General features: G+C 35.2%; 1 protein-coding gene across 5 annotated transcripts in view, besides 2 other annotated features; it reads right to left on the bottom strand.

Annotated features, from left to right (window-relative positions):
• WRN (WRN RecQ like helicase) overlaps window positions 1–12351 on the bottom strand; it is a 142329-nt gene that overhangs the window by 111026 nt on the left and 18952 nt on the right. For all 5 annotated transcript variants that reach the window (XR_949472.4, XR_949471.4, XR_949470.4 and 2 more), the window contains exons 2-5: window positions 6570–6741; window positions 5848–5960; window positions 679–824; window positions 50–198 (exon numbers count right to left, since the gene is read on the bottom strand). Coding sequence is in view for 2 of the 5 variants with exons in the window: in NM_000553.6 (NP_000544.2) it covers window positions 50–198; window positions 679–824; window positions 5848–5960; window positions 6570–6665 (504 nt within the window). In the remaining 3 variants the exon portion in view is untranslated. The remainder of the gene's footprint in view (window positions 1–49; window positions 199–678; window positions 825–5847; window positions 5961–6569; window positions 6742–12351) is intronic.
• Window positions 7253–7752: an enhancer, noted in NCBI's record as "H3K4me1 hESC enhancer chr8:30914877-30915376 (GRCh37/hg19 assembly coordinates)". NCBI's record gives its function as "activates a minimal SCP1, AML or CMV promoter by ChIP-STARR-seq in naive H9 embryonic stem cells {active_cell/tissue: H9 hESC(naive)}" and the evidence as "EXISTENCE:reporter gene assay evidence [ECO:0000049][PMID:30033119]".
• Window positions 7753–8254: an enhancer, noted in NCBI's record as "H3K4me1 hESC enhancer chr8:30914375-30914876 (GRCh37/hg19 assembly coordinates)". NCBI's record gives its function as "activates a minimal SCP1, AML or CMV promoter by ChIP-STARR-seq in naive H9 embryonic stem cells {active_cell/tissue: H9 hESC(naive)}" and the evidence as "EXISTENCE:reporter gene assay evidence [ECO:0000049][PMID:30033119]".

Below are 12351 nucleotides of genomic sequence, written 5' to 3'. Positions count from 1 at the left end.
TAACACAAAATAATCTTCATCATGAAAATTATATATATATTGCTTTTACCTTTTTATTGGCAACATCTGTCAACTCCACAAAATTCTTCAATTTGATATCAAAGTCACGTAGAAGTTTCCACTGATCTCCTTCAATTCCTACACCTGCCTTTTTAACTGCTTTATTTTCAAGCAACATTTTTAATCCCTGGGGAAAAACTGTAACATTTTCTTGTTATTTCCATAAGTTCTGTCAAGTATGATGGATTTATGTCCTACTTCTTATACATACCATGTTTATGTGTAAATTTGTATTTAACAGTAATTTTAAATTCAGAAACACATTGACCTTGAGTATTTCTTAACTAAAGCAAACAGTCCTGATTGATAAATGACAAGAAAAAATAATCAGTTTGAATGCCACTCCTGCTAGCAATAGCAGTACATATCCTGGTCATTTAGCCTCTTAAAATTTCAGTTTTCTCTTCTCTAAAACAGAAAAAATGTCAATGCCTCACAGGTATGTTGTGAAAATTAAATAAAACAAGGAATGTGAGTGAATCAGGTAGAACATAAATACTTAAATAAATTTGAGATAATGAGAGAACGGCCAGCTAATAAAAGAACTTAATTTTATAGGGATAAAGTTGACATATTACAATTATCAGCCATATAAAAATGAAATGTAGAGATACCAACCTGACATGGAAGAAACGTGGAACAAGTAACATTTGCTCTCAGAAACACACAACTGAATTAGTGCAACTTTGCCAAGTTTCCCTCTATTGTATAATGGTGGCCACTCCATGTCAAATCCCACCACATCCCCATCTGATAGACTCATGCTAAAGTGAGAAAAATAGTGTAAATTAATTTATGTTAAAATTTTAAACTTCTGCATAACTAAAGACATAATTCAAAAATTAAAAGGCAACCACAGACTGTTCAAGTTATCTGGAGCACATACAACTGACAATGAACAGCCAGAAAATATGTAAAATTTCTTGAAAAATAAGTAAGAAAAGACAAATTATTCAGCAGAAAAATGGAGAAAAATATGAACAGGTAATTCCCAAAAGAAAATCCAAATGACCAATAAATCCAAAAGATATGGCCAGGTATGGTGGTTTACCCCTGTAATCCCAGCACTTTGGAAAGTCAAGGCAGGAGGACTGCTTGAGACTAGGAGTTTAAGACCAACCTGTGCAACACAGCATGTCTCTACAAAAAAAAAAATTAAAAATTAGCTGGGCTTGGTGGCACACACCTGTAGTCCCAGCTACTCAGGAAGCTGAGGCAGGAGGATCACTTGAGTCCAGGAGTTCGAGGTTAGCGTGAGCTATGATCGCATCACTGCACTTCAGCCTGGGTAAAAGTTCAAGACCCTGTCTCTAAGAAAAACAAAAATAAAAAATAAATTTTAAAAATCCAAAAAATATGTGAAGACACTACTTCTCACTAGAAGTCAAAGAAATGCAAACTAAGTCTACGTGATTTCACATCTATCTGATTGGTAAAAATTAAGTTTCAGAATACCACGTGTTAAGAGGATATCTATCGGTGGTTCATGTATAAATTGGTAAAATCCTTTTGGAAAAAAACTTTGACAACGACAATATCTAGTTGAAGGTGCATAAACACTATGACCTGGCAAGTTTTGTCACAAATAAATGAAACCCTCAGATGTGTACAGACATGTTTAAGAATATGCATTGCAACACTGTTCCTACTGGCAAAAATTAGAAACAAACTAAATTTCCATTAACAAGAGAATGGATTGAACCAACTGTTGCATAATGAAACATAGTAAGATATAACAGTTAAAATGGAACTACACAGATCAACAAGAAAAATTCTCAAAAACGTAGTGTTGAGTAAAAAAGACAAGTTACAGAGTACACAGTTTGTTAGCATTTTTTAAAGTTTTTAAATGGGCAAAATAACATTATATAATATTTTCAGACATAAAATTATTAAGTACTATTATAAAAAACATGTGAGCAGCCAGTGGCTCACACCTGTAATCCCAGTGCTTTAAGTAAGAGACCAAGGCAGGAGGATCACTAGAAGCCAGGAGTTCAAAACTAGCCTGGGCAACATAGTGAGACCCTGTCTTTAAAAACTATAAATAAAAAATTAGCCAGGCATGGCAGCACACACCAGTAGTTGTAGCTACTTGAGAGGCTGAGGCGAAAGGATCACTCGAGCCCATAAGGTTGAGGCTGCATTGAGTATGATCTCGCCACCGCACTCCAGCCTGGATAACAGAGCAAGACCCTGTTTTTATTAAAAAGAAAAAAAAATGCACAAAACTCATAGAAGTTATCTCAGAGGGGCACAGAGGGAGAATCAGAAAGAACAAACACGGGGCTTCAGCTGTATTTTACTGTTTCATTTCTTAATAAAGAACTGAAGAAAACAGGCCAGGCGCAGTGGTTCACGCCTGTAATCCCAGCACTTTGGGGGGCCAAGGCAGGCAGATTGCTTGAGTCCAGGAATTTGAGACCGCCTGGGCAACATGGCAAAAACCCCATCTCTATAAAAAAATATATATATAAATTATCTGGGCATGATGGTGCATGCCTGTAGTCCCAGCTACTCAGGAGGCTGAGGCAGGAGGATCACTTGAGCCCAAGAGGCGGAGGTTGCAGCGAACCAAGATCACACCACTGTCACTCCAGCACGAGCAACAGAGTGAGACCCTATTAAAAAAAAAAAAAAAAATTGAAGAAAATTAAGATTTGATAAAGTGGGAGGAATATGCATATCTATTATATTGTTATCTATTGTTGTTGATACTTGCCTATTTAATAGTTGTTAAAAATTGAAACTATATTTAAAAAATAAAAGAAACTCAGCTTCTGCTTCAGGCCAACATGATATAACAAGGGAGGCCAGACTCACCCTCCCACCACAAACAAATCTAAACTTGGACAAAACATATAAAACAACTGTTTCAGATACTAGACAACAGGCAGTACAGGACTATGATCTCTAAGGGAAGGGAAATGAAGGGTGAACCTTACAGTTGCCCCACATTCTTCCTGGGACCCATTGCAGACAACAGAACAGGGAGAAGAATCCCAAGGAGAGCACTGAGTTGGGGAGACAGAGTTCAGAGCCCTGGAAGCTGAAGGACCTGGAACTCACGGGGCAGAGTTCTGGAGAGGAGGAAGCTAGGCAGGAAAAGAGCTCCAGAAATCTCCCTAAGGGACTCCTTTGGTCTTTGCAGAATACGAAGACAAGCATGCATAGACTAAAACTCTATGGGGCTGGGCAAACAACCATAAGCTGAATGATTCTTAGGACGGACTTACACAAAGGTAAGAGGCATTAACGTTCTGAAAAGTCAGAGAAGAGATCGTTGATCACCAGAGGCAGTCTACAAAGACTCCAGAAGGGTCACATCTTATTATAGGGCTAAATTACCTTTAGACTAAAGGCAAACGTAGACTTTCCCTGATCAAGCTTGAAAACAAGCTTCAAAACATAAAGTTGATCTTCAGGTAACTTAGATGTCTGACAAAGTTCCTTTCTTTAAAGGAAAACAATAAAATCTAACATTCCACAAAGTAAGATCACAATGCCTAATTAAAAAAAAAAAAATTAACAGCTGTAGGAATAAACAGGAAAATATAACCCATAATCAGGAGAAAAATCATCCAATAGAAAGAAAAAAACCCTAGAATAATGGAATTAACAGACAAGTACATTAAAACAGCTATTAAAAATATGCTAAATATGTTCAAGAATTTTGAAAGAAACATGAATAATGAGAGCCAAAATGGAAAAAAAAATTAAGAACCAAATGGGACTTCTAGAGATAAACAAAATATGTAGTATCTAAAAAAGAAATTCACAGGATGGTATAAACAGACCAGACACTACAGAAGAAAAAAATATAAGTGAACTTGAAGACAGGAAACAAAACTATTCAAGCTATTCAAAATGAAGCACAGAAAGAAAAAAAGGAAGAAAGAAGAAAAGACTGAAAGGAAAGAGCCTCAGTGGCCTGTGACACAGTATCAAGCAATCAAACTTGTGTGTACTAAGAGTCCCAGAAAGAGAAAAGAATAACAGGATGGGAGGAAAAAGGATCTGAAGACATTTTTCAAATTTGATTAAAGGTATAAGCCCACACAGATCAAAAAAATTCAACGAACTCCAAGCCAAATAAACACCAACCACATTACACAAGGGCACATCATAATCAAATTGTTGGAAACCTGTGGTAGCAAAAATTTAAAGTGTCCAGAGGAGGGGAAAGCAAACACAAAAACTCTGCCTGCCTTTTATAAAATACATATAAGTCATCAAAACTACAATTCTTCAAGTCACTTGTGCTAATTGCCTTCAGATATGACATACTACAGCAATGCTGAAGGTAAAATGGTAGAGTTAATATGTAATCATAAACAACAGATTTTACCTCCTCTGTGAAACTAATTCAGTATAATGAGTCCCAAAGTGGCCAGATAACTGTAGTAAAAGTAAAAACACTTGAATGTTATTTCTAGCTTATATCTATACCAGTAGAAGACCATTAATAAATAGCTTAACCTACCTCTGCCTTTTGTTTGTTTGTTTGTCTGTTTGAGACAGGGTTTTGCCCTGTTGCCCAGGCTGGAGTGCAATGGTGTGATCAAGGCTCACTGCAGCCTCAACCTCTCGGGCCCAAAACCTAGGCCTCCTGAGTAGCTGGGACCACAGACACCTGGCTAATTTTTAAATTTTTTTGTAGAGATGGGGGTCTTACTATGGCTGGTCTCAAACTCCTGGGCTCAAGCAATCCTCCTGCCTTGGCCTCCCAAAGTGTAGGGGTTATAGGCATGAGCCACTGTGCCCAGCACCTCTGCTTTTTTTAACCCAATATATAACAAAATTTTTTTTTTAAAAGACAGGTATAACCACCTCGGAAAATATCTGAATGAATTCCTTATTACTTGTTTTATGCTTTGAGAGCCTTAGATTGCACTATTGCAGTCCTAATTTTACAAGGCAACCTTTAAAAGTACTAACAGACATTTCTAATGTTTTTTGTTTGTTTGTGGGGTTGTTTTTTTGGATTTTTTTTTTTTGAGACGGAGCCTCACTCTGTCGCCCAGGCTGGAGTGCAGTGATGCAATCTTGGCTCACCGCAACCTCTGCCTCCCAGGTTCAAGCGATTCTCCTGCTTCAGCCTCCTGAGTAGCTGAGACTACAGGCGCACGCCACCACACCTGGCTAATTTTTTGTATTTTTAGTAGAGACGGTGTTTCACCATGTTAGCCGGGATGGTCTCAATCTCCTGACCTTGTGATCCACCTGCCTCGGCCTCACAAAGTGCTGGGATTACAGGCCTGAGCCACCGCGCCTGGCCTCTAATGTTTAGTTAGAACATTTTTTAAGGATCATTTGCTACAACTGTTACTAATTACACACAACAGAGCCGATCATAGCCATTATTCAATATTACTATGTTGATATTTTTAATGAAATATAAAGGTGCATTTAAAGGTTAAATAATTTTTGCACTTTTTCCCTAAATTGGTAAAATAAACACAGTATGTTCAGTAGCTCTATATATAACATCTTAAGTACTGAAAGTTAAAAAACTGTCGTGCTCGCTTCAGCAGCACATATATTAAAAAAGTTAAAAAAAAACTGTCTGAAGTAATAGAAAAGCTTATGAATGAACAAACTGACAGATTACAAATTAATTCAGTGACTTTTATTTGAAATGTAAAACTTGGTGATAGTGTATACATAGAAATAATTATCTATTGAACACACCTCACCTGTAAAACTCAGTATATTCACAAACATTACCATAATAGTACCTTCTAAGGGTCCAAATTCAAATAAAATCAGGAAATTCAAATCACTTACCTAATATCTTCTGACAGGAAAGAGCAATCACTAGCATCGTAACTATACACAATGGATCCAGTGAATTCTAAGAAGGGGAGGTCATCTTCAAAAACACTCTTCCGAACACATGCCTTGAGTTTAGTAAATTTCAAAACAGGCACAAAGTTCACATCAAATAACAAATGTTCACTGAAATAATAAAGTTCACTGAAGCATTCAATTTATAGTTCTAAGTTTTATCAATTAATGTTTTATAAACTAATGAAGTCATAAAGAAAACTTAACAAAGAAAAAACCATCCCATTGTGAAATTATTTCTCCTAACAAGTTTATTTTCAAACCTCTAATCCCATTTTCATAAAAGCATTTATTTTCCTGAGTTTTTTCTCTGGTAATTATATTCGTATTACAACTGTAATAATAATGTTGCCTTAAAATGCTGAAGACCGGCTGGCAAACAAAAAATTCAACAAAGTTAATGTTGTCTAAATTATCTGAACTAGAACAAACTGGTAAAGTCAACCCGAAAAAGAGAAAATATACAGTAAGAATTCTCATTTTGTAAACCCAATTAAAGTTTATTCCAGTTTACCCTTTCAACAACTAGGTCCTGGTGCATTTAGACAACAGCAACTCTGACCTAAACAATGACTTGAAGTTTACAAGTAACAACTGACTCTTTGCACAGTCAAATATAAATTAAATTTCTCACCCAAAAGAATAGTCAATGAACAACATACCTTTCTTTCTTCTACAGCACATCTTTTATTCTGCACATTCATCCATTCAGGACATTTCCGCTGCTGTGCAGTTGTTTCCAATTTTTTTTCACTCATCTTTGAAATGTCCTATTTGCAGAGTCCAAAAAACAATGTCTTCATGGGTAAATACAAAACAATATCTGAAAGAAAACTGAGAGGTAGTACTGTCAATATGAATGAAAACCAAACATACATATTTAAAGTAAGTTATGACACCTAGGTCCAAGCATAGGTTATAAGAGCTAGAATCACAAAACAAAACAGATACAATATGCTGCATCTAATAATTATACATTTAGTATTTCTTCCTCTTAAAACAAATCAGTCATTTTAATTGACTTGTATAATTCTGGTAGTTTCGAAATTCTATTATTTTATGACTTTGAGTCTTTCTCAAGAATAACCTTACCTCACTATCAATGAAAATCCTTGGGTATATGAATCATTATGAATTCCTGACATTTTAAATTTTCTACATGATTATTCTGTCTTAAGATCTAAGTAAATTCAGCAAAACTATTAGATTTATTCACAAATCTACTCAAAGACTTAATTTTGAAGACAGATAATAGCTCTTCTATATTAAGGATTTTTATTTTGCTCCTCACCTAGTAAGTGAACAAATTTCCCTAAGAATGAGTTTTTTAGAGGATTTTTTAAAAATCTGTTAATATCTTTGAGGGCACTCCTCAATGTAAACCAAAATTCAAGTATAATTAAAGAAAATACAGTGAATAAGAATCTCTCAAACGTGGTGTGTGCATTTAAAAAAAAAAAACAGAACATATTTGTTTTGTTAATAGTAAAATGGATCCGTACCCTGATATGACTCATACTCAAATAAAATAGCCTTAGTTCAAGGCTTAGTTCTTAGCAAATTCCTCAAACTTCAACTTTAGTTCCTATTTGTAATAAGGAGGTAGCAGTTTTTTTGTTTTTTGTTTTTTGTTTTGAGACGGAGTCTTGCTGTGTCGCCCAGGCTGGAGTGCAGTGGCACGATCTCAGCTCTCTGCAAGATCTGCCTCCTGGGTTCATGCCATTCTCCTGCCTCAGCCTCCTGAGTAGCTGGGACTACAGGCGCCCGCCACCAAGCCCGGCTAATTTTTTGCATGTTTTAGTAGCGACGGGGTTTCACCATGTTAGCCAGGATGGTCTCAATCTCCTGACCTCGTGATCCGATCGCCCACCTCAGCCTCCCAAAGTGCTGGGATTACAGGCATGAGCCACCACGCCCGGCCCAGGAGGTAGCAGTTTTTAATGTAACACTGAAGAGTCTCATGATGAAACAGGATGTTAATTACATTAACTACTTATGATTTGAGGGTAGTCTGTCGTATTTGATATTTAACAATATAAATTCTGACAAAATTAAACAATATGCAGCAACTATCCCAAGCATGAATCAGAAACTGAAAATACTGATAATTTATGGAACAAAAAATTTTAAAGAATACTTTTATCAAACAAATTTTCCATATAGAACAAACTCCATCGCTATTGTACACTGGGAAGGAAAGCTGGTTTGTAACTCATTCTTTCACCACTGGGGGAGAGAGACTGCAAGATCTCCACCAAAGTTCCCAGTAAACATCCCAATGACATCAAACCAGAAGGCAGCTTACTAAGGGTCTTTATTAGTAGAAAAATACCAAACAGTCCATATCTAGAAAATGTTAGCAAGAAAGAGTTCAACTATCTAGATTGTTTATTGTTAATAAGCCTGGAATTATGGATTTATTAATTTATGCTTGAAAATGTGGGGTAGTCAAATAAACCACATAATTAATAATACAGGAGTCCCAAAATCAACACACAAATCCTTTGTGCAATGTTTTTGCACATACTGCTTAAAACTAGAGTGTTCATACAAAACTACAACGTGTCCTAATGCAAAAGAAAGGTACATTTCTGTAATTTGTTTCTCACGGTTTGGGACTCAAAAAAAGAATGTTCTACCTGCAATTGGTGCTTGCCTATATTCACAGAATCATGATCAAAGTTTGCCGATGGGTACAACTCAACTCTTGGGGTTGCCACATGCGTCATATGTAGTGAAAAAATATGTAAAATACATATGCTTTATTAATTGTAAAGCATTTTATATATGTCACTGGTTATCAATAAGTGTATATTTTGTCACAAATTCAAAATCCTTGACAGGAGAAGCCAAAAGTTGATCCCAGATTATATAAGTAAAATCAGTTCTTAATCTTAAAATATATATTTATAAAGCTGGAAAACAAATTTCTGCTATACTTAGAGTAGACCTCATTGGCAAAATGCCAGAAAACTGAGGTTTCCACAAATAACACAAACTTTATAAAAACACCTGTAGACTTCTAAAATTTTGTAAGTAATTCATTTACACTGCCAAAACAGAAATAAACTTCAATAACTCTTTCCTTCTATCTATAACACTAAAATCATTTTAATTTGAAATATGTAATTTTTTAGATGTAAATACTCTTTTGCATGCAAAATTCTATCTAGATACTTCCAGGCAAAGATTTGAACGTAAATTTGTTTACAAACCTAATATCTTTGTCAAATTTACTTGTATCTTGGGATAGATAAAAAGCACACAGAACATTAATGTTGTGGAATAATTTGCAATAGGGAAATCCTTTACCATACGTGAGGATTGTAATTCCTGACGAGGTAAAGGTTATTTTCGGTCAAATTCACAGCATAAAATAATTTTTTATTTACATATGTACTCGCTATGTCGTTGAGCATGTATGACTTTGACATGTCTTTTTCTAAAATCATGTCTTTTAGCTTCTGCACAGCAAATCAGAGTGAACAGACAACCTACAGAATGGGAGAAAATTTTTGCAATCTATCCAGCTGACAAAGGTCTATATCCAGAATCTACAAGGAACTCAAACAAATTTACAAGAAAAAAAAAACAAACAATCCCATTAAAAAGTAGGCAGAGGACATGAACAGACACTTCTCAAAAAAAGACATTTATGCAACCATCAAACATGAAAAAAAGCTCAACATCACTGATCAGTAGAGAAATACAAATCTTTTTTGTATACAAATCAAAACCACAATGATATACCCTCTCATGCCAGTCAGAATGGCGTTTATTAAAAAATCAAGAAACAACAGGTGCTGGCAAGGCTATGGAGAAATAGGAATGCTTTTACACTGTTGGTGGGAATGTAAACTAGTTCAACCATTGTGGAAGACAGTGTGGCGATTCCTCAAAGACCTAGAACCAGAAATACCATTTGACACTGCAATCCTATTACTGGGTTATACAATTATATTACTGGGTATATACCCAAAGGAATATAAATCATTTTATTATAAAGATACAAGCACACACATGTTCATGTTCACTGCAGCACTATTCACAATAGCAAAGACATGGAAAAAAACCAAATGCCCATCAATGATAGACTAGATAAAGAAAATGTGGTACATATAAAATGGAATACTATGCAGCCATAAAAAGGAACACGATCATGTACTTTGCAGGGACATGGATGGAACTGGAATCCATTATCCTCAGCAAACTAACAAAGGAACAGAAAACCAAATACCACATGTTCTCACTTATAAGTGGGAGCCGAACGATGAGAATACATGGGGAACAACACACACTGGGTCCTGGAGGAGGGACAGCATCAGGAAAAACAGCTAATGTATGCGGGGCTTAATATGTAGGTGACAGATTGATAGGTGCAGCAAACCACCATGGCACACATTTACCTATGTAGCAAACCTGCACGTCCTGCACATGTATCCTGGAACTTAAAATAAAATTAATGTTTTTAAAAAACATGTATTTTATCATTTCATAATGCTTCACATTGTACCTTTAAAGGATTTTAAACCCCCCTTTAAAATAACGTATTATGATTTGCTTTGGACTTTTCCTGAAATCTTATCTACCTACCACTATCTACAATTTTTCAACCTTTATCATTATTTTAAAGGCTGTCTGGAATTTTTGTTGTTGTTGTTTTGTTGCTTAATTTTGGTTTTGGCCAGGCACAGTGGCTCATGCCTGAAATCCTAGCACTTTGGGAGGCTGAAGCAGGAGGACTGATTGAGGGCAGGAGTTCAAGACTAACTTGGTCAACATAGTGAGATCCCATCTCTTACCAAAAAAAAATTGTTTTTTATTTTGAATGGCTTAATTGGAATATATTTGTCTTTCAGTATGGAAACGAAAATTAATCTCATTCACAGGTGGTATAAAAAGTTGTTTTCCCTTTCACCTTACTTTCATCAGTTACTTTCTTCAGTTTCCTCTTTTTCTTTTTCCATTTTTTTCTGACTTGATGAAATTATCATGCATTCCCTTTTTCCTCATTATTAACGTTAAAATGCATTGGGTTCATGCTACACTCTACTCCTGACCAAGACTTTTTAACAATATTTTCTTCGAATTCTACATAGCAACCACTACAAAAAAGCAAATGGCAAAGGAGAAGGCTTTGCTTTCATAGACTGAAAACTCCTTTTTCACCATTAACCAGTATTCCAACAACTTAATCTCTTCAAATTGTATGTATTTCAAGGGTGCAAAAATTTTTTAAGTCTAATAGCTTCTCCTTTTCTTTAATTAAGAAACATGTTAATTTATTCTGATGATTTAAGTAAGCTTTGAGTAAACGTGAACTTTTTTATATCAAGTATTTCAAAATAATACTAAAGCTTTGTCACAGACACACTGACTTTCCTCTACTAGTACTATTAATTCTTCTTTAGGATTCAAATAACACCAATTAAACATCACTTAAAAAACCATTTTAACTTCACTTTTCCAAAGCTGAATTTTTGCTCTGAATCCATAAACTCTGTCATATACCTTAATGTATTTTCCACATGATCACTGCATTTTTTTATTGAGTGAATTCAAGTGTTCAAAATGTCAGTTAAGGATACCACTTTTTGAAGCCAGTAACTACACTTCAACAAATCTGCAAAGTAAGAATCGCTCACATGGAATAATTTAAATTTTTCCTTTTCGCTTATGAACCTTCCTTTGGACTGTCCACATAATCAGTAATAAAATAGCTCACCGCATTTCTTCACCTAAAGGTGAAAAGAAGGTACTGTAGGAGCTTGGATTTAGTTAGGTTCACCATTTGAATTTTTAATGTAATCATTTAATGTGAAATTCCAAACCACAGGCAAGTTTTAATTTACAACTGCTTCTCCATGAATAAGACAACCTGTTACTTGGAATAAAGTTTTAGATTGAACTTAATGTAAAGCTTTTATATCTTCCTGTCATTACCTGTCCCAAACTTCCACTCTTTTTCCATAGTACCTTGTATGTTTCAAAGTATTCATTTATCTCTTTGAATATTTCATCCCCAGTTGGTCTGGGGACTTCTCTTTGCCAAGCAAATAGTGTCTTCCAGTTCTTCAGGGATTCTATATGGTCTTCAAACTGAGGATCGTTACAAATGTTTATGAATTCATATCTGAAATGAATGCCTTTTTGATTAAATAATCTTCTGGATTAGTGTTGTGTCTATGTCATTTGACAAATCTTCAATGTATCTTCTAATAGAATAATTGAAAATGGCAGCTCTTCAATTTCTTTTGCCTCATTGGTCCCAAACACAGTGTTCCAAACAGGCAGGAAAAAAATAGCAGCCTCAGCAACCCAGCGAGGTACCTGGGATTCATTAATTGTGCAACCCTATAACTAGCTTCTTGAGCTCAATCTGATTATCATGTTTATCAACCTCATAATAATAAATTATGACTAAATAATTAAGTATGGTACATC

The sequence above is a fragment of the Homo sapiens genome, chromosome 8 (genome assembly GCF_000001405.40).
Source record: "Homo sapiens chromosome 8, GRCh38.p14 Primary Assembly".
Taxonomy (NCBI): domain Eukaryota; kingdom Metazoa; phylum Chordata; class Mammalia; order Primates; family Hominidae; genus Homo; species Homo sapiens.
The sequence above is the reverse complement of the archived record's forward strand: the minus strand, read 5'-3'. Positions and strand labels throughout refer to the sequence as shown.